The sequence below is a fragment of the Homo sapiens genome, chromosome 18 (assembly GCF_000001405.40).
Source record: "Homo sapiens chromosome 18, GRCh38.p14 Primary Assembly".
In the NCBI taxonomy this organism is placed as follows: Eukaryota; Metazoa; Chordata; class Mammalia; order Primates; family Hominidae; genus Homo; species Homo sapiens.
This window is the reverse complement of record NC_000018.10, coordinates 74356061-74378480: the sequence shown is the minus strand read 5'-3', so window position 1 is coordinate 74378480 and position 22420 is coordinate 74356061. Positions and strand designations below refer to the sequence as shown.

The window sequence follows — 22420 nt, the reverse complement described above, 5'->3', positions numbered from 1 at the left end:
TGGAGGAATGAACTAAACTGCAAGGGTGGCTGCTGGCACAGAGCTCCTCAAGATGTTGACAGAGGGAGAAATGTGGTGTTCTCAGATGAGGGACGGATGTGGCTAAAAATCCCCAGTTTTAGGGAGTGTGGGTAGAGATCATGGTTTTAAGGACCCGGAGAATAAAACATGTCCTCAAGCTGTTTTGAGTTGAAGCTGTTGCAGGTTACCATTGGACACCATAACTCACTTTATAGTCCTTTCTTCATCCCACTTCCTCTTTCAAAGTACACAATTCTGAATGGCAAAAACAAAAAGCTCTGTTTTCTTCTCTTTAAATATCACCAGGTTCTCTAAAATTTGTGATTTTAAGGACTTACAGGAATTCAAACTACCAGCTCCAGAATTTCTTCACTATATTTTTGTCAACTACTCCTTTGATTGTTAGCTTACAAGGCAGGGACCTTCACAGCATTTCCTGAGGACAGCTCTCACCCAATTAAATCATATTCTAACTCTTCTGCAACAGCAGAAACCACCACAGTGTCTCCAAAGTTACTAGAATTCCAGTGTTGTAACAATGAAGTTGAACAACACTTTCCAGGGACCATTATACTTAGAAAAAGGAGCTGGCATTAGATATCAATAGATACTCATCGAGATTCAGAGGTTATTTTTATGCTGTAGCCACTTATAGAAAACAAAGCAAAATCCACATTTTCTAGCCAGTGCTCCCAATACAGGATTCTCTTCCTTATCAAACAATAGTAATAAAATGCAAGTTGAGACCAGATCCCAAGGTTTTACTTTATTTATTTATTTTTTTTGAGACAGAGACTCACTCTGTCACCCAGGCTGGAGTGCAGTGGCATGATCTTGGCTCACTGCAACCTCTGCCTCCCAGGTTCAAGTGATTCTTCTGCCTCATCCTACCAAGTAGCTGGGACCTGCAGGCACACACCACCACACCCAGCTAATTTTTTTAATTTTTTTATGTATTTTTATTTATTTTATTTTATTTTTAGTAGAGACAGGGTTTCACCATGGTGACCAGGCTGGTCTCGAACTCCTGACTTCAGGTGATCCGCCCCCCTCAGCCTCCCAAAGTGCCACTGCTCCCGGCTGGTTTTATTTATATATAAATGGTACATATATGCGCGCGCGCGCACACACACACACACACACACACACACACACACACACGTCCTTAATGAAGAGATAATATTTAAACGTTGTAAATTTAAAGTTCCTGCGATTTCCTGCCTCCTAAGGGATAGAAACTTGAATTTATTTTTGAGGCCTTCTTTCTTCTTGGAAATCACCCCAGTGGGGAATGAACCTCCTCCAGGAAGAAGATATAATGTGGCTTAGGCTCCAAGGAGCTAACCCCTTTGGATAATAATGTAAAGGTTGTGATTACGGTGTCAGAGTTACATTGCTGCAGATTGTGTTTCTTTAGAATAATTTTTTAGAATAATTTTCTTTCCCAAATATGGCTATAGACCACAATGTGCAAATATTTTATTGCTTATTTTTGTGGAGTTGGTGCATATCTCCTCACAGGCGGTCCCTAGAGAAGTTCCCCATGCTGTAGGAAACCCTGACAGCTTGGCCTTCTCTTCACTTCTCTGCAGTGGGGGAGAGATCATTGTAAAGGAAAAAGAGAAAGACAGGAGGAAAAGTAAGTTAAGGTCAGGTCGGGGGAAAAACAAAGGGAAGGAATGAACTGGGCTTGGGGCTGTGCAACTTACAAAAGGGAAGGAATGAACTGGGCTTGGGGCCGTGCTATGCAAAAAGGAAGGAATGAACTGGGCTTGGGACCGTGCAGCTTGCAAAAGGGAAGGAATGAACTGGGCTTGGGGCCGTGCTACTTGCACTAGGTTACTGGTGTTTCATCTGTTGTGTTGTTTAGAAAGGACAATCCAGCCTTTGGGAAATGTACCAATGCTGGGCCATGCACCCTAATAATTTGGAAGACTGTGGGGCTGGATTATCCCAACTAAATTTCACAAATAAATTTTTCTTCTAAAATAAGTGGTTATAACCACTGCTGATTACCCTGGGAAGGGGTCACTAGTCCATGGCAACTGCAGCCCAGAGTGGAATGAAGAGAAGGAGGTGGAAGCTCGTGAGGGAGCTGTTCTGTAACCTCCACTGCTTACTCGCTTCTTTAATGACTTGCAAGTGACTCAGATCCAACATACACAACAGTAAACCCATGAAGTTCTTTCATGCCCTCCCCTACCCATGTTTATCACCCTGGATTTTGCCATCTCCGTGAATGGGACCATCATCCACCTGCTTGCCCATGGCAGTAACCTCAAAACTGCGCATGACTCATTGCTTTCTCCATCGTCTCTGGATCTCATTAATGATCTGCTAGTGATCTCATGCTTCTGGCCATGAGGGAGTAAGACGGCCTGTGATCTCCCTCCCTCTGTAAGCAACTATAAAAAAAGGATAAAATATAGAAAGCCACTATTTGGATATAGGGCAAAACAAGACTGTGATTCCTGAGAAAAAGGAAGAAGACAAGGTAAGCCCTACCATCAGCTGGCCTTTCTGCCTAGAGATAAGTCCTGGGCTACAGTCCAGGGAGGGAGAACTCCAAAAAAGTGAGGCAGCTTCACAGAGCTGCAGAGACAGAGGTCAGAGATGGGGAAGGCCAGGCGGCTCTGTGAAGAACCTGTGAGGCAGAGTTCTCAAGGGAAGGGGCTACACAGATAAAAGTACTCCGGAAATCTGCACATGAGTTCATGGAATCTTTTTAAAACAGAAGTCTATAGAAATATAAGGCCAGATAAGAAAAGCTTCTGGTGAAAGAGTAATTATGAGGAGTTCTTTTTTTTTTTTTTTTTGAGATGGAGTCTCACTCACTCTGTCGCCCAGGCTGGAGTGCAGTGGCATGATCTCAGCTCATTGCAACCTCCACCTCCCATGTTCAAGTGATTCTCATGCCTTATCCTTTTGAGTAGCTGGGATTACAGGCACCCACCACCACACCCAGCTAATTTTTATATTTTTAGTAGAGATGAAGTCTCACCATGCTGGCCAGGCTGGTCTCAAACTCCTGGCCTCAAGTGATCTGCCAGCCTCGGCCTCCCAAAGCACTGGGATTACAGGCATGAGCCACTGCACCTGGTGAGGAGTTCTAAAATGAACAATTCCCTAAAATTGCAAAGCCAAAAATCACTCAAGTTCCCTCCAGCCAGAGAGAGAGACCTCACTGAATATATGGGGCATTTAGAACAAGCCCCAGAAAGGCCATGACTTAGAAGAGGAGTCAAATCAGTCCTGGAATAAAGGCTACTCTAGGCCCCAAAAAGCTTATAAGTAAACCTCAAGGGAATCAAACTAATTTCTGAATAATTTATAGAACAAGTAGATAAAAAATCAGTAAGGATATAGAAGACTCGAACACAGTATTAATCAATTGACCTCACTGACATGTATAGATGGCTTTACTCAACAACAGCAGAACACATATTTTTCATAAGTGCTTGTAAAACATTCGCTATACCAGATCATACATTAGGCTATAAAATAAGCTTACATAAATTTAAAATAGTAACCACAGTGGAATAAAACTAAATAGCAATAAGAGAAAGGTATAATATATGGAAAAGCCACAAATATTTGGAAATTAATAAGCTTCTAAATGGAAATTGGAAAGTATTTCAAACTGAATGAAAATGAAAATATAACATGTCAAAATTGTGAGATATAGCTAAAGCAGTGATTTGAGGATTATAGCATTTCATGCTTTTATTGGCAAAGAGAAGTCTAAGGTCAGTCATCTAAGCTTTTACCATATTCAGTTAATAGTAAATCCTGTCAATTGTACTTCCTAAATAACTCTTAATCAGTTTCCTTCCCTCTGTCCTGCTGTCACAGCCTCCTGATCCCCCTATCTTAAGTCATCTCCAACCCCAAATTCCCAGTTCTTTCTTGTCAGCTGCACCTCTCACCACTACTTTCTCCTTGCACTTCAGCCTTACTGATGTCTCTAGTTCCTTAAAGCTCTCATGGTCTTCTCTGGGTCATCTCACACACATTTTCCTTGCCTGACCACTCTTTTATTTCCAATTCACCCTGCTAATTCCCACCCATGGAATTTCTCTTCTTTCTGGAAGGCTGGGTCCTGCTATACGCTTCCGTTCTAGCTCATTGTACTTCCTTTGTGGTGGCATTTAACCTATGCTCGTGATTTCTTTAATTGTCTGTCTTCCCCAGCAGCTGGGTCTCGTCTTGTATATCACATTGTGTATCTGTCCCCTTGCACACTTTCTGGCACTTATTGAGTGCTTAACATCTATTTGACAAATGAATGAAAGCCTATTTTAGTGGAAATATGACCACTTAATTTGTAGTTACAGGTTGAGAAGATCAGCATTCCTGGATCACAGTTCGCAGTCAACATTGGGCATCTCCCAGCATCCATTTGTCTTTCTTTTTTAATAACCGCCCTGAATTCTGTTGGGGGCTCATGAGGTTCCTGAGAAGCCACTTATCCCAGCTCAAGTAGTTGCTCAAATATTCATCATTGAGAAAACAGATCTGTTTTTGTGGCTTCAGTTACTTAAAACTATCATTTCTCAGTTAAATATGTTATTGGGATTCCCTGGAAGTGTACAGGGTCCTCCCATTAAGTCATCCCCCTTTAATGAGCGGTACTGGGGTGAAGGTATCTGGCAGGTTCCTGTTAGGCTTTTCTGGCTTGACTATTTACTTTTTTTTTTTTTAATTATACTTTAAGTTTTAGGGTACATGTGCACAACGTGCAAGTTTGTTACATATGTATTAGCTTCGCATGTTCAAAAGGATGTGGGTGCTTACCTAGTGCCCTAGAAACAGCACAAGCCATAACGTGACGTCTCTGAGTGAAACAGGCCTAAAGCCACAAAGGAGATAAAACAGATAAGGTAAGAATAAGACGAGAAAATCAAAGTGGAATTAACCTAAATTTAACACTATCACTCCTGTGGTATCTGCACATATCAAACAAAAGGAAATAGCTATCTGGCTTGACGGCAAAATGCCGTGCCTCGTGCCACCTTTTTTAAAAAAACAATAATATGAATGATTTTTTCCTTGATAATACAAATAATTCATATTCATTATGGAAAATTTGGACACTTTTTAAAAGTATTTAAAAATGGGTCACCCAAAATAATACACAAAATACCCACTGGTAATGTCTTTTTTTTTTTTTTTTTTGAGACAGAGTCTTGCTCTGTTGCCCAGACTTGAGTGGAATGACATGATCTCAACTCACTGCAACCTCCGCCTCCCAGGTTCAAGCAATTCTCTTGCCTCAGCCTCCCAAGCAGCTGAGATTATAGGTGCCCACCACCATGCTGGGCTAATTTTTGTATTTTTAGTAGAGGCGGCTTTCACCATGTTGGTCAAGCTAGTCTCAAACTCCTGACCTCAAATGATCTGCCCACCTCGGCCTCCCATGAGCCACTGCGCCCAGCCCATTGGGAATGTCTTGTTGCATTTCTTTTCATAACTTTTTATACATATACAGACAGATGTGTATTTTTCTTTTCAAAATTAAAATTTTTTTGTACATTACTTTTTTCACATACATCATAACCCAAAAAAGTGATTTTTGGCTGGGCGTGGTGGCTCACACCTGTAATCCCAGCGCTTTGGGAGGCCGAGGCAGGCAGATCACGAGGTCAGGAGTTCGAGACCAGCCTGGCCACCATGGTGAAACCCCGTCTCTACTAAAAATACAAAAATTATCTAGGCGTGGTGGCGAGCGCCTGTAATCCCAGCTACTCAGGAGGCTGAGGCTGGAGAATCATCTGAACCCGGCAGGCAGAGGTTGCAGTGAGCCAAGATCACACCATTGCAATCCAGCCTGGGCCATAGAGCAAGACTCTGTCTCAAAAAAAAAAGAAAAATAATTTTTATGACTTTCTATTTTGTGGATATGCTATAACTATTTAAACAACAATTTTTCTATTGTTGCACATTTAGGTTGCTCCTATTTTTTACTAATATAAATTACTCTGTGTGAGCATCTCGGCTTGAATCACAGGTCACCTTCCCCTCTTGTGTTCTGGGTCATCTTTTGCTTTCTCAAGGACCTCATCCCTGCAGTTAGTCACGTTCTCTCCTGCTCCATCAATGTCTCTCTCTCCCATGAATTCTTCCCATCTGCACACACATTCTCTAATAGCTTCCATCATAAATGAACAAAAGCCCTCGTCTCACCCTGCATTCCCTTCCAGCTTTACACTGATATCTCTGGCTCCCTTGAAAGCTACACTTATTATGGGAAGATCTGATCTTGGTTACAGTCCCCACTTCCTTACCCAGTATTCACTCCCATGCACGCTGACCAGGTATATCATCTACCCCTGAATTAAAACTGCTTTCTGTGAGCTTACCAACCATTGCTGATCAGATCCACGCCTCTGTCCTCATCTTCTCTAGCCCGTTGGCAGCATTCAGTAGAGCAAACCATCCTTCCAGACACACTCTCAGCTCCTGGCTTCTGTCACCCCAACCCTTTTGCCTCTCCTCTCACCCCTGCATCCTCTGCTGGCTTTTCTCCCTCATCTTGTCTAAAAACTGTTGAGGGTACTTTAGGGTTTCCTTTTGGACCTCTTCTTTTCTAGACATTCCCAGGGTAATCTTATTTTCTCCCATGGCTTTAACTACCAGTGATCTGCTGATGATGCCAAGCTGACTTCTCCAACCCAGACCTTTCTCAGAGGTATTCTCTGGGTGTCTATTACGCATCTCAAACCTAACATCGCTAACACAAAAGTTTTATTTTCCTCATATCTCTAAAACACCTCTGTCTTTCCCCTAGCCTTCTGCATCTCCAGTACCCACCATGACAGCCACCTGGTTTCTCAAGGCAGGAAGAATGCAGGACTCAAGCTCAATTGCTCTCTTTTTTTTTTCACGCTTCATGTCCAACCCAGCAACAAATGCATCTCTCTCTCTCCAAAAAATTGTGTTCGTTCTCATCTCTCCACCTCCAGCTCATCTTATCTAAGCCACCATTGCATGTTGCCTGTATTATTTCAACAGCCTCCTCATGGTCCTCCTGCCTTCTGTTTTGTACATGCATAATCGGTTCACTACATGTCACCCAGAATAGCCCCTGTACTCCACTCACTGCATCCAGCCTTGACTGGCCTGCGTGATCTTGCGTCTGTCTGCCTTTTAGATCTCATCTCTACGGCTTTCCCATGGGCTCCCGACACACTGGCCACTCGGGCCTTCTTGCTCTTCCTCTAGCACCCCAAGTTTCTCACCGCAGCCTTGGCACGCGTCGCTCCTGTTTGGAACATTCTGCTCTGTTCATATGGCTGCCTCTTTCTTACCACTGGGGACTCGGCTCAAATGCCACTTCAATTTAAAGGTGGTTCTCCCTTCACTTTCACCTCTAGGGTCCAGAGAAACTTACACATATGCAAATCACACACAAACAAAAACAAACAAATGACAACTGGGGATGATCCAAATTCCTTCAATAGTGGACTAGATAAATTATGGTAGATTCATATGATGAGACTGTATATCTAAATGAAAATGGATAAACTACAACTAAGGCATTGACAGGGTTGAACCTCAAAACATAATGTTGAGAAAAAGAAAAAAGTCACAGAAAAACACATACAGTATTGAGTCCATTTAGATGACATTCCGATGTACTGTATAGAGATGGATACATCAGTGGTGAAACTCTAAAGAAAAGCAAGGGCGACCCCTGGAAGAGCTCTTAGGAAGCTTCTGAAGTTCCTGCGGGGGTCTGTCTCTCAGCCTGGGTGAGAGTGCAAGGTCTCTGTTTCATTATTATTCACTATTATTCTTTCAGTTGTACACATGACTGCATGAACTCTTTTGAATCCATTATATTCTTCACAATAAAATTTTTTTAAAAGAAACAAGGGGAAGATGGAAATATACCAAGTGACATAGTGGTATTTGCTCATAATCATTGTGTGAGTGGGAACAGCATAGCATCCTCATATTTCAGCTCCCTCCCTGACAAGTGAAGGCGCTGGGCTCACAAGGAGGAAGATCCCTTTCTGTTCTGTGTCCTGTGACTCAGTCAACCGCAGGCAGGCTTGACAGAATCTTGAGGGGACATCTGGGGCATCTCCATACTCTCCTTGCAGAATTACTATTTAATTAAAACCAGTTCAGGCAAGAGAGAACCAATCTGATTTGGAAACCCCACCCCTCCCTTTCCCCAGGAAGAAATTACACAGCCTGGTTATATCATCAGCTTTAAGTGTCTGAAAATTCTTTCTCTTGACTTACACAGATTTTCCACAATTTGGAGCCTCTCTCCAAACAATGTTACAACACATTCAAGGCTGGCAAAATTTTGGAGGACTAAATCTAAATGGAGCTGCCTGTCAAAATGTCACAGTTCCCATAAGACAATGGAAATCTATATTCTTTCCTAGACACGACAGGGCCAAGATGCTACAGATAGGGGAGGTGTGTGTGTGTACACAGGTCTGTGAAGAGGTGAGCAGCAAGGAGTGCTGGTTGATGTTCTCCTTGGCCAAATAAAGTTGTGAAGTTGATGGCAAATGCCATGTTCAGTGATCCCTGAAAGTAGAACCTGCCTGCTGTGTGTTAGTATTCCTATCCGGCAGGGAAACTCAAAACCATATGTTTCAATATAAATATTTTCTGATAATTTAGAGTAAGTATTCTGTTTCTCAGAGCCCCAGAATGGAACCGCACTTGAAATCAGGTTAACTAGAGCTAAATTTAATCATTGTGTGACCCGATTGACTATATGCAACCTGGGGTATTGAATATCCTCCTTTATGTTGTTTTTATTCTCAATTTCATCTACTTATTTCCTTAGGGACCACAGAGCAATAGTAGGCAGCAAAGTAATGAAATGTGGTAAATCTGGTTAAAGAGAAATTTAACTAAAAATACTTTCCTTTGTTTCATCTCCACAGCCTTGTACATAGTGTGGTTTACTTTGGTTTACAAAGTCCTAAAGTTCTTGGGAGGAAAATGGCTGAATTTATTGCTCTGGGAAATACCAAGCTTACTCAATTTTACAATATATAAAAGTTCTTTGTTTTATAGATAAGCCATAAAAATCTCAGTTGTAACCATTAGCTGTCATTTACACTGGGAGCCGTAGCAAGTTTACCACATTTCCTGGGGACCTTCTGAGGCGGTGGATCACATGGCCACGTGCGTCGGGGGCTCTGTCAGTCCCCCGGCTTCCCCGCCTGCAAAACAACTGCCTGGCTGGGGACTGGGGATTGGCAGGAAAATGTGTTACTGCTCGATGGACTTTGGATCCTTGATCACAATCTCTGAGGGCCAATCATCTCTGCTGATAACTGAGGAGTGTTTACGCTTGTTTCTCAAAAAGTTCTCAGTGCTGTAAACTAGGAAGATTTCAGGGCACTGGCCCAAGCCGATTAAGAGTGATTCCCGAGGACAACAGAGGAGAAGTGGGGAAGGCACTCCCTGACTATACAGCTAACTTCAGGAGCGGCTTTTCAAATAGATCAGCTCCAGGCACTGCCCTCAAAGCCTCGGTCACCCCTGAGTGAAGTGAGAAGTGAGTTTACATGGGAACAAGGAAGGACAGAAAAGACGGAGAGCTACTAATCTGAAGAAAGGTTTTCAAAGGAGTTGTATGTACATACAGCGGAGACTGCTGACACCCATGAAAATGACCATGTGAACGTGCCTTCTAGGTCCTTCCTTTAAATCACATTTTTCTGTTTGTTTCGTTTTTTGAGACGGAGTTTCACCCTTGTCACCCAGCCTGGAGTGCAGCGGCACGATCACCGCTCACTGAAACCTCCATCTCCCGGCTTCAAGCAATTTTCCTGCCTCAGCCTCTCAAGTAGCAGGGATTACAGGCACACATCACTATGCCCAGCCAATTTTTACATTAAAAAAATTTTTTTTTTAATTTTTTATTTTTTGAGATGGAGTCTCGCTCTGTCACCCAGGCTGGAGTGCAGTGGCGTGATCTCCGCTCACTGCAACCTCTGCCTCCTGTGTTCAAGTGATTCTCCTGCCTCAGCCTCCCAAGTAGCTGGGATTACAGGCGCCTGGCTAATGTTTGTATTTTTAGTAAAGATGGGGTTTCACGATGGCAGCCAGGCTGGTCTTGAACTCCTGACTCCTGACCTCAGGTGATCTGCCCACCTTGGCCTCCCAAAGTGCTGGGATTACAGGCGTGAGCCACCATGCCCGGCCTAGATCACGTGTTTTTAAACACTTCTTGAAAGTAGCGACATACTGTGTGGCTTAGCAGGGAGAATACCGCGCTAAGCATTGAAAGATCCGATTCTTGCTCTGTGTGTCACCGGCCTGCTGAACTGACCTCAGGCAGAGGTCACCTTGCCTCTCACAGCCTTGGCTTTCTTTCCAGGCTGCCAGGCATGGCAATACCACATGGCTCCTGCCACCCAGGACTGGCTCAGGAGGCCAGCACGGCCCAGAGAGAAGTAAAAGGGCAATTACAAAACCAAGAAAGTCCCGTGAAAGGGAAAAGACAGGGTACTGGGAAGGGGGCACCTAACCCTGACTCAGGTTGACCAGGCTCTTGTATGTTAGCAACACTGGGGGGAGTTAACTGGGGAAAGAAGCCCTGGCATTTTGTCATTTCCCAATCTTGAGATAACAGTTAGATCAGTGTTTCCCATGGAGTGGGTGGACTTGGTAAGAACACAGGTTTCCCCAGAGTTTCTGAGGAATCTGTTTTGGGTAGTAAGGCTTCAGAGCTTTGTTCTCCTCCTATGCAAAGTGAGGTGAGAGTGAGCCCAGTCTAATTTGCACAGTCTAATTTGCCAGACATTTTCTCATATTTTTCATATGACTGTTCTCAAGGGCTTACCTAGCCATTTTGCTTGCAAACCCTGGTTCTTGACCTTGTTCCTACACTGCACCACTGTGTTAGTTATCTATTGCCATGTAACAAATTAACCCCAACATCCAGTGGCCGAAAACAGCCGTGAATATTTATTCCTTGCTGTTTCTGTGGGCCAGGGATTTGATTGAGGCTTGGCTATGGGAACAGATGACACAGGCCACACGCAGAGGAAGGTGGGACTCCGTGGGAGCCATCCTGGAGGCCCGCAGTAACCCTGCTGTGATTAATAAGATGCTGGGTGGACTTGCCTCCCATCTATCCATGTTTCCCGTTTTCAATACTGACCATAGCTGTGAATTCTGTTCCCCCATCCATTCTTAAACAATCAAACTTTTTGGTGACTATCTCCTGCTTTTCTGAGTCACTTAATTTTTGGAGGGGGGCATTTCCCCCTCCCTTTAAAATTGAAGATATGCTCGGTCCTGGCTCTTTCTTCATAGTGCTTCCTATTGCGCACTGTAACAACTTGCATTTGCTTTTCAAGTGAGGAAAGGAATAGTTTTCTGGTGTACTCTTGTTCTCTAGTTAATCCTGAAGAAGACACATAAAATAGTAATACCTTAGATTCCCGTGGGTCACAAGTAGCTCCATCATGGAGCTTCCTTCACCACTCTTTGTCCTCAGGTCTATCTCTCAGCATCTTCATTATGTGGATATCTGTTAAACTAAATTGGAAACAGAGAGTATGAGCTATTGTTATTTTCTGGAACTCACATGAGTTGATTTTTTTAAAAAGAGGCCCTCAAAGTAAAAGCCATGCAAGCCAGCTGCAGACCTAAGATCACAGCTCAATTCGCGTTCTTATCACTAACCATGTATAGTATGAACTTCTCTAATAGCCTCATATGATTACATTTCATGCCACAGCAGGTCATATGTGAGGCTTACAATCTAGTTCTACTAAGCTGTGGGTGTATTGGTTGGCAACCACATTGTCTGAGAATTCTGTTTATTTCTAGGACTTTTCAATTCACTCAGAAGTTAAAAATTGCAATACTATCTCAGGAAAGCATTTTATAGTCTTACCATTATATGAAGTGATTTCCATCTTGTGAAGAATTTCCTTATTAATAGACACATTTTCCTACATAAGTAATGGATCTGGAAGACAATCATTTCTTGTTCCACTTTCTAAACTTCCAAAAAAGGAAATACATTTCCTTGGAATCGTGCTGGATCTCTCCCCTGCAAGCGGCTGTCCAAAAGACGACCAGAATTTATCAATAACAAAAACAGGATCCCCCCACTCCAGGGCGAAAAGAGCTCAGCTTGTTGGACAGCAGATTGGACAGTGGAGGCCCCTGTTCCTCAGCTGTGGTCAGAGGCCCCCCACCTGCCAGGCCTCCTTTCCATTTGTAACCCTTTATTTTTCTTACTTTAAATAGACCACTTGTTGGCTGGCCAGAACTTGTGCTTCTCAAGAGGGACGCAGTGGAGGTTAATTACACTCTGGATTAGTAGAACTCTTATATTTCACCCATTTTTACAGAGGAGGAGAAAGAGCAGGAAGGAAGTTCCAGGGTCCGCAGACTGGCTGAAAGCTTCATCTTCAGAACTGCCCTGCAACTCCCCACATTCAAAGATGGATTCTTCTTTTCTTTTTTTTTTTTTTTTTGAGGCAAGAATCTCGCTCTGTCACCCAGGCTGGAGTGCAGTGGCACAATCTCAGCTCACTGCAAGCTCCGCCTCCCGGGTTCACGCCATTCTCCTGCCTCAGCCTCCCGAGTAGCCTGGACTACAGGCACCCCCCACGCCCGGCTAATATTTTGTATTTTTAGTAGAGACGGGGTTTCACCGTGTTAGCCAGGATGGTCTTGATCTCCTGACCTTGTGATCCGTCCTTCTCGGCCTCCCAAAGTGCTGGGATCACAGGCGTGAGCCACCGCGCCCGGCCCCGGATTCTTATTCTTTACTTGGCTCAGCAAAGGCTAACTTACTTTTTTGTGAATGTCACCCTTTTAGAAGGTCAGGAGCCATCACCATCTAAAAGTAAAAATCTAACAGTCTGAAAATCTGGGTTCCAGCCTTAGCATTATCACGTAGTTGGTTGTATGACTTTGAGCACATTTTATAAATTCTTTCCACATCAATTTTTTTTATCTCATCAATGAAAATAATAACCTCAAGATATTGTGAGGAATAACAATGGAAAATTGTAGTGAAAGTGCCTTTAATTATAAAATATAGTACAATTTAACATATTATTATATGTATTTTTTCAGAATTTGTTATAAATAATACTGATCAAAAAGCTATACTTTTGTGACCTTGAAAAGCAACTGTACAAATTTTAAAATGTTTCATAGAATAAAAACAGAAATAAAAAAATTCAGGGCCAAGATGAGTATCTGCAAATTATATAAACTCTTATTTCCTAACTAAAAAAATTTCTAAAGGTGGCGCATTTTACTTAGTTTGTATTTCTTTTTTTGTTAGCTTTTCAAAGTAGAAAGAATTCTGGTAGATCTTAGTTGCTGTAAGCTCATTAATTTGCCACTGTGATGAAACGCTATTGGCTAAAGTAGTATCACTTTTTTTTTTTTGAAAATAAAGGATTCACCTAGTAAGGTTATATAATTATTCCTAGTTTTTTCCTAGCAATAGCAGATATAAAAGAAGAGTCACGTAGACAGTGGACACAGACCCTGTGCTTCTCCCTACACAGATGGCGCGGGTTTCATTCGAGTCAGAATGGCTGGTCCCTAACCCACGAGGCGCCCTTTGACTATGGGGATTTTTATTTCTGTATCCTCAATGCTCATAATAGAATAGAGTCCCAGGAGTCAAAAATGGTTTACTAAATTTCTGCTAATAGCTAAAAGAGTAGAATATCATGCCTGTAATCCCAGCACTTTGGGAGGCCGAGGCGGGTGGATTGCCTGCACTCAGGAGTTTGAGACCAGACTGGACAACGCAGTGAAACCCCGTCTCTACTAAAATACAAAGAAATTAGCCGGGTGTGGTGGCGGGCGCCTGTAGTCCCAGCTACTCGGGAGGCTGAGGGAGGAGAATTGCTTGAACCTGGGAGGTGGAGGTTGCAGTGAGCCAAGATCGCACCACTGCACTCCGGCCTGGGCGACAGAGTGAGACTCTGTCTCTACAAAAAAAAAAAAAAAAAAAAAAAAAAAAAAAAAAAAAAAAGTAGGATAAGAAGAAAACAATTTTTGTGTTTTGGCATATTCACATATTGGAAACTTATACATTTCTTAAAATAATTTTTTGAAGCATATTCAACAAATGAGGGTTATATAAAACAATGTTAACTGAAACAAATCAGGGTACAAAACAGGCAGTATGACGGGAATTTTGTAGAATAAATATAGGTTTATACACATACCCATGAAAATCTAGAGGGAAGAATGCCAATATGTTGACAATGATTATTTTGGGGTGGTGGGGTTTGGGGTGATGATTTTGAATTTCCTTCTTTACATTTTTCTGTATAAACTCTTTATAATTAGGGTGTGTACTGATTATGACTCCTTGAGTCACAAGAGTCAGTAATACCCAACATGAACCAGCTGAAAAGCAAAGGGAAATTTTTTGTTCCCAAGACTGAAGAGCTGGCTTCAAGCACTGTTTCACTGGGACTCAGACATCACTGGGACGAGTTATCATCTTTTTTGTGTTGATCCCAGTTTCACACTGCCAAGACAGCAGCTGACGGTTTAAGTTCAGCAGGAAAAAGTGCCACCGTTTGCTAATAAACACTCTCCTTGCTCACTCTCATCTCTGGAATGAGTTACATCCACATCTCCAAGACTAATCTATGAACGTAACAGAGTTCTCCATTTACTTTGATTTCCTTTAATGCCACTGGATAAAGTTTCATTTTTCTCCCTAAAGTTTTTGATATTTCTGATGTTATTTTAAACTAAATACTTGGTTTGAGGTTTCCTGGATCACGTTGGTGATATGAATATAGGCTGAAATCCACCAGGGATGATGAGGGGGTCTTTTCAGGGATGCTTTTCCCCTACTTTACTCAGCACCAAGGCAACAGACCCCCATGGTGTCCTGCGGGTGGAGGGAGTGGAGCTGGTGACTTGTGGCTTAGGTTTACTCTGAGGGTACAGCCCTTCAGGGACCCAGCAAAATGTGTGTGCGGCTGGGATTGGTGGGCAGCTTTGGGGAGACTGCCATCTTTGGTGGGCCCTGGACTTCTCTGTTTCTGTTCCCCTCACTCCTCGGCATCATCAGAACTGCAGCTCAGCTTCAAATCTAGGTTATCAAATCTTCTCAGAGCAAAATTCATTTTGGTTTCTGCTTACCTTTTTGGTTTTAGACAGGTAATTCCTTATATTATTTTGGTTCTTTGATGTTTCTATAAACTTTAAAAAATCCGTCATGATGAGCTGTGGTCCATGAGAGGCAAATTTGAATAACCTAGGCTGCCAATGGCCCCAGCAGAAAGCCGTTAGTTTTCAAATTCTGATTCAGACCTAAACAAGAGTTTAGAACTAAAGAGGAAAAGAAGGTAGTGAGGCTCTCTTTGCTTAATATATTTATATATTGCTTAATATGCTTATTTGTTTTAGTATGGCAATATTGGTAAATAGCAGAACTAGAAATGAATTTGAAAATTTATATAAAATTTTTATTCTCAGAAATAAAACTTTGTTGTTCTGTGAGTTATCAGGAGAATAAAAAAAAAGACTCCATAATGGTTTAAACAGTTTGTTTATAAAATTCCATTATGTTATTCATTTTAGCTAAATGATTATACTGATGTGTGTTCCCTCTAAGCACTGACCCAGGACTTTATTTTAAGGCAGCTTAACTCATGTTCTTCAGAGATTTGAAGATTTTATTTCAAAATTATTTTAGTGGTGAAGTAGATATAGAATAAACCACACAACAATTATGTTTTGCCAATTTTCTCCTTGAGGATGACTGCAGATTTGTACTTCTTATGCAAGGAATACAGGCTGTTAAGTAGAAATAATTCCTTTCGATGCTTTGGAAAGAAGCTAGTGGAACAAAATTTAAAATATTGTGTGTATACTCTCTATATAATTTCATAGTATCAAAGTGTATAATATATAACCTTTGAATGCAAATAGCAAAACATTTCTTCAGTATTTTTAAATTCAGGGATTTCATAGTACAATGAATATATATATATTAGTAATCAGGATGATCTTTGTGGAATACAATAAAACATTAATGCATTTTATTTTTTATGGAAATTAGAAAAAATTTTACTGCAGAAAACAAGAGTAAAAATATATGTAATATTTAAAAATTCAGTCATATTACTCTTCAATAAACTGACTACTTATGAGTTTTCTTCTGTTAATATTAAGTGGTAGCAGATTCCCCAGATTTAAAAAATCATAGGGGAAAAGGTTAAAATGGAAAAATCCTACCTATTTTTATATTCTCACTAGGTATTTTTGAATTTCCTGGCTAAATTATATAAATTATAAATTATATAATATATGCATATATTACAAATTATATAATATATGCATATATTACAAATTATATAATATATGCATATATTACAAATTATATAATATATGCATATATTACAAATTATATAATATATGCATATGTTACAAATTATATAATATATGCATATGTTACAAATTATATAATATATGCATATGTTACAAATTATATAATATATGCATATATTATAAATTATATTATATATGCATATATTATAAATTATATTATACGTAAATATATAATTATAAATTATATTATACGTAAATATATAATTATAAATTATATTATACGTAAATATATAATTATAAATTATATTATACGTAAATATATAATTATAAATTATATTATATGTAAATATATAATTATAAATTATATTATATGTAAATATATAATTATAAATTATATATAAATATATAATTATATTATATATAATATATAATTATAAATTATATATAAATATATAATTATATTATATATAATTATAATTATAATTATATATAAATATATAATTATAATTATATAATAGATTGTCTATCCATTTGCTTCACATCACAAAGATTCCTTTGATCTTTCTTTGTGCTGCCTCACAGCCAAGCTTCTCGTAGCGGCCTCGGACACTCGTCTCCTCCATGCCCGACCACCTCTCATGTCTTCAGGACCTGAGTTTGGATTGTGGTGGCCATCCGGACCCCCTCAGAGACTAAGTCCCCTCATGTCTTCTCAAGTCCTTTTCCTGGGCTTTTCACCGCACTTGACACTGTGGGCTGCTGACGCTCCCTTCTCCCCGGCCTCCCTGACCTAACAACCTCTGCTTTCTGACTCGAGCCGACTGTCTCCGTCCTCCTTCCTCCCTCCCTACTCCGCCAGCATCAGTTGCGCTTCACTCCCAGCACTCGCACACACACCTCCAGCTGACACGTCTATGTGGATGACTCCCCAAATGCTGACAGTTCCTGATATTCAGTCTCAGTGATTGGTTACCTTTCCCAGGGTCTTCCGCTAATGCCACCAACCCAGTTTGTAACACATAAACCAGGCATCTATCTGCTAGCATTGCTTCCTACCACGCCTTCATTTTCTGTTTTTAAGAAGCAATACTCTCCTTGCAGCGACTCAAGCTTGAAAATGTAGCTTCATCTCTGCCTCCACCTCTATAGCACCCGGTGCTCTCAGCTTTCCAGGAGCTGCCATTTCTGGGTGTGTCCCTGGGGTGATTTTCTATCTCCGCCCTCTGGATTTGTTTTCTGAAAGTCTCCATATGACTTCATGGCCCTGGCCCGGGACAATCTTCCAGTTTCTTCTGCAGTCATTCTGGTCCCAATATGAAGCTCATGCTAAACACACCAGAATCGGCATCCACTGCTCCCTAAACACACATGCATCTTCATACCTCTGCTCATTGTAGTCTTTCTCTTTGGAATGGCCTTCTTCCCATTTCTCCTGTGACCCAAATGTGTTCTTCCTTCAAGGTCCCTGGGGTACTTAATGCCAGTCAGTAAAGGAGACTGAAAAAATGCACCCAGAGATGTAAGACTATAACGGCCATGGGAGAACAGCATTTAAAGAAGGATATAATCAAAAGCAATGATATTTAGGGGAAAATGAAAATAAGGATTTAGAAAAGTCCACTGATGACTCTTCTCTAAGGAGCTGTCTGTTCTTGCGATTTCCAATTCTGGTCTCCCTTCTCTCTTAGATCCACTCCAGTCGGGCTTCTACATCACTCCACGGAAACTGCTCCTCAGGGTAACAGTGGTCCCCATGTGTGAAACCCCATGGTCAATTCCCAGACCTCTTCCTACTCCAAAACCCACTCCTCATCCCAGTTGATGGTAACCCCATGCTTCCAAGTGAGCCAATAATTTTGGTGCCATCTTAGACACCTTTCTCTCAAATCCCCAAGCCCGTGGGCTCTACCCTTCAGAATCCCCACTTCTCATACTCTCTGCTTCCACCACAGTGCTGCAAGCCATCATTGCCATCTGATTCTTGGATTCTTTTTTTTTTGAGACGGAGTCTTGCTCTGTCACCAGGCTGGAGTGCAGTGGTGATCTTGGCTCACTGCAACCTCCGATTCCCAGGTTCAAGTGATTCTCCTGCCTCAGCCTCTCGAGTAGCTGAGATTACAGGCATGTGCCACCACACCCAGATAATTTTTGTATTTTTAGTAGAGACGGGGTTTCACCGTGTTGGCCAGGATGGTCTCGATCTCCTGACCTTGTGATCCGCCCACCTCGGCCTCCCAAAGTGCTGGGATTACAGGCGTGAGCCACCGCGCCCGGCCACTTCTTGCATTCTTAACTGGTGTCCCTGTTTCTTCTCACCCCCACCCCCACCCCAAGTCTATTCATAACACAGCAGCCAGAAAGGTCCTGTTGAAACCTAAGTCAGATCACTTCACTTCTTTGGCCTCAACCCCATTTCAGTCAGGGTAAAGCGAATCCTCCTCTCTGCTGCTTTTACTCTGGCCTGGGCTCCCCCTGAAACATTTTGCAAACACACAGGTTGTTCCTTATGCCTGGGAAGCATATCCTTCAGATGACAACTCCATGTGCTCTCTTCGTTCAAGTCTCTGCTCAAGGAAGCCTACCCTTACTATTTATCTTACCTTACTCTGTTTATTTTTCCACTGTACTTGCCATTTTCTAATGCATTATATAATTTAATTACGTATGCTTATCATCTGTGTCTGCCTGCTAGAATGTAATTTCAGTGTTCACAGATATATTTCAAGTATCTACAATAATGGTTGCACATAGCAAATACTAAAATATGTGTCAAATGAAAGAATAAAACTTTTGAGAATAAAAGTTCTGTGAAGCACTAAGGACCTAAGGTAGTTTACATGGGTCCAGCAGCAAATGTATGTGAAGAAATGGAACCACAGAGGGAAAGAAATTTGTAATTTATCTAAGCCTTTCCATTCCTATACAGTCACTCTGACATATGAAAACTACATCTATTAGAAATACCTTTATTATTTTCAATTTTGAATAAGACACTATGTAACGTACAACAAAGTGAACATTTTAAACATCAAAACATAAGGACCATGACATTCTTAAATATTTATAAATACTGACTATTCCTAAGTATCAATAAATACCCAATATATTAGCAGTTTCAGCATAATACCCCATCATATGCAATTTGAAAACAGAGCAAAATTGGTCAACTGGTTAGTCAAATAAAAGCTAATCATTAACAAGTTCATTTTTTTTTTACCTTTTTACTACAATAAGCAACAAATGCAAATAAAAATGTGTAATTATGATATATAATAAAAATAAAAACAAATATAGTAAGCAACCAATACTGTGAAACCTAATATATGAGTATATGAGAAGCACTTTTGCATTCCTAGAAATATGATTCTTGGCATTTATTTTGACATTGCCATATATTTTTTAAAGTAATCGCTGATTTCTTCAGCTCCTGGACATAGGCAAACATAAAATTATTTTCTTATGGTTTTAAAATTAAAATGGTTCTAAAACTAATGCACAATTGGAATATAAGAATAATTTCTGGGGGGAGGATGGTCCATACTGCATATAAATCACCAATAACTTACACAAAGAAGTAAAATGTAGCTTTCCCTAATTAGATTTGGAATTATCTTGGCTTTCAAAAATTGCAATGTTTAAAATGAACCAAAATCTTAATTGATTTCTCTGGTGATTCTGAACACAGAAATTTGATCTAGAACCTCTTCTTGGAACATGAAATATGAAATCAACAATCTATATACCTATCTATATTAAATCTCACATATAAATATATGCATATATTTTTATAACTTTCATTAGGATAAATATTGTAAGATAAAAATCAAACCTACTTTATACAAAAAAATACACTAAACATGGCAGGTTTTGCCATGTAGGTTAACATTGATCTAAACTCAAGTACTATACTATATATTCTAAATTTTAGACACTAATGGAGTATAGGAGGGGCTATCAAGATTATTTATATAAAGAACTGGAAGATGTTAATACCACTTCAGCAGTGGATGTATGGTTTTCATTATTTTGCTCAGTGTAATAATAAAGTAAGTGTCCATTACCTGAGGCATAGTGACTGGGCAGTAGCAGGAAGGTGGCCTGGGAATGTATGGAACAGTGGGGAAGGCTGGTTTTAGGAATGATTACATGCTGTGGATGACTGTGCTCATCAAAAATGCATATTTACTAATGTTATTTTCACCATAGCCTCATAAACAAAATGACATACCACTCTTTATAACAGTCTACTAGATATCTATAATACAAACTTTGGAATGAGAAAAGCACACTCAAAATGGGCTTCAGACAAAATGCTTATCCTTATGAAAATGGTAAAATAATTGGGAAATAGAGATAATTCTGGAAAACAGAAATGCTTACAATAAAGGTATATAGCAAATTAATTAACTAAACACAATTTCAGGAGCAGGAGTTAACATTTAACGTTTGAAGGAGAGTTTGTTTACTTTTGCTTTTAATTGCAATGGTTTAGTAAAGTGGTGGAGACAATAAATCACATTTACAAAATCAGAGTTCAACTTATACTTGGATCTCTAGTGGCTATTTTTATGTAATTATTGTTTCAGTGGAATAGCCAATGAAGATTTTGGTTTCTTTTAAATATATTACAACAATTATATAATATTTCGTATATCAAACATATAAAATGTTTGAAAGCCAGAATAATATTCATTGTCTGAGAAGCTCCACTTCTGTTTCTCTTTTTTTCAAATGTTAGATAATTTATTTGTAATATGGACTAGAAGGTCATTCTGGACATATGCTTCAATACATACATATCCCTAAGTCTGTGCCAGGAACCCAGAATGAATTTGCTTGAGACTAGACCACCAGCACTCAGGGGCTCAGGCCACGGCTGTCTCATCCATTTCTGCCATGGACACAGTGTTGTCCCCACTGCCTGGCACACAGAAGATGCTAATGAGTACTGGTGGAAACAGAAATCTCCACCCCAATAAAGGCTCCAGTTTTGTTGAGAAATAGCTTTTACATTTATTCAGGGCTTCCTGTTAATTTGCATATAAAAGCAAAAGTGAAATTTAGTGAGCCTGCAGAGATATAGTAGAGATCCCCAAAATGTAATATATATATACACATTCTTTTTTTCTTAAAAAATATACTATATCTTATGTTAGAAATATATACACTTTGGTGTTTATGGGTAAAATTATATGATGTCTTGAATTTGCTTTAAAAGATTATAGCAAAAAAAAGCATGTCTGTGAGGAACAGATGAAACAGTGGCAAAATATTAATAACTGGTAGATCTGGGTGATAGGTACTTAGAGGTTCTTCATACTCTTATCTGTGCTTTATGTGGTTTGATAATTTCAATAAGGGCAAAATAAAGATATTTTCAACTATCAAAACTACTGTATAAGATCATTGGATATTTTGCAAAGATCTGCAGACTACATGATGTTGTAATAGTGAAAAGTTGGGAAGAACTGAAGTGTCTATCAATAGGGGACTAGTTAAATACAGAAACCCACATACAACAAGATGCTATGCAAACAATAAAAAGAAACTGTCAAGTGAAAAAGGAGGTTCCACAGCAGTAAGTAGAGCTGATTTCATGGTCACAGGAGTGTGAGAGGCATCTGGAAGAGTGTTCATCCTATATTCAGAATGCTCATCTCTGCAAAGAGAAATTACAGATGGTTTTTTACTTTTTTCTTGAAACTGCTCTGTACTACTCAAGTATAGGAGTATGTATTAATTTTATATTTAGGGGAAATTATTTTCTATAATGATTCCTGTTATTGGGAGCTAAATAATATATACACGTGGACATAGAGTGCAGAATGATAGAAAGAAGAGTAGGGCGTTGACAGATAGAAGAAGGGAGGGGGGGTGAATGATGAGAAATTACTTAATCAGGTACAATGTACATTATTCCAATGATGAATACACTAAAAGCCCTGACTTTACCCCTACAATACATGCAGGTAACAAAGTTGCACTTGTACCCCACAAATTTATACAAATAAAATATTAAAAATGTTCTCGTTATTCCTTCTACCTGATGAAATTATTTTAAAAATTTAATATTTATTGA

General features: G+C 40.0%; 1 protein-coding gene across 1 annotated transcript in view, besides 3 other annotated features; it reads right to left on the bottom strand.

The window, feature by feature from the left end:
* Positions 13525–13694: an enhancer, noted in NCBI's record as "experimental_50354 CRE fragment used in MPRA reporter constructs". NCBI's record gives its function as "activates a minimal promoter by MPRAs in K562 erythroleukemia cells, with activity observed for the introgressed 18:72032107 variant allele {active_cell/tissue: K562}" and the evidence as "EXISTENCE:reporter gene assay evidence [ECO:0000049][PMID:34662402]".
* Positions 13525–13819: a biological region, named in NCBI's record as "Neanderthal introgressed variant-containing enhancers experimental_50353 and experimental_50354".
* Positions 13650–13819: an enhancer, noted in NCBI's record as "experimental_50353 CRE fragment used in MPRA reporter constructs". NCBI's record gives its function as "activates a minimal promoter by MPRAs in K562 erythroleukemia cells, with activity observed for both the introgressed and non-introgressed 18:72031982 variant alleles {active_cell/tissue: K562}" and the evidence as "EXISTENCE:reporter gene assay evidence [ECO:0000049][PMID:34662402]".
* C18orf63 (chromosome 18 open reading frame 63) overlaps positions 19292–22420 on the bottom strand; it is a 43351-nt gene continuing 40222 nt past the window's right edge. Inside the window, exon 14 of the mRNA NM_001174123.2 lies at positions 19292–22000. The gene's annotated coding sequence lies outside the window, so the exon portion shown is untranslated. The remainder of the gene's footprint in view (positions 22001–22420) is intronic.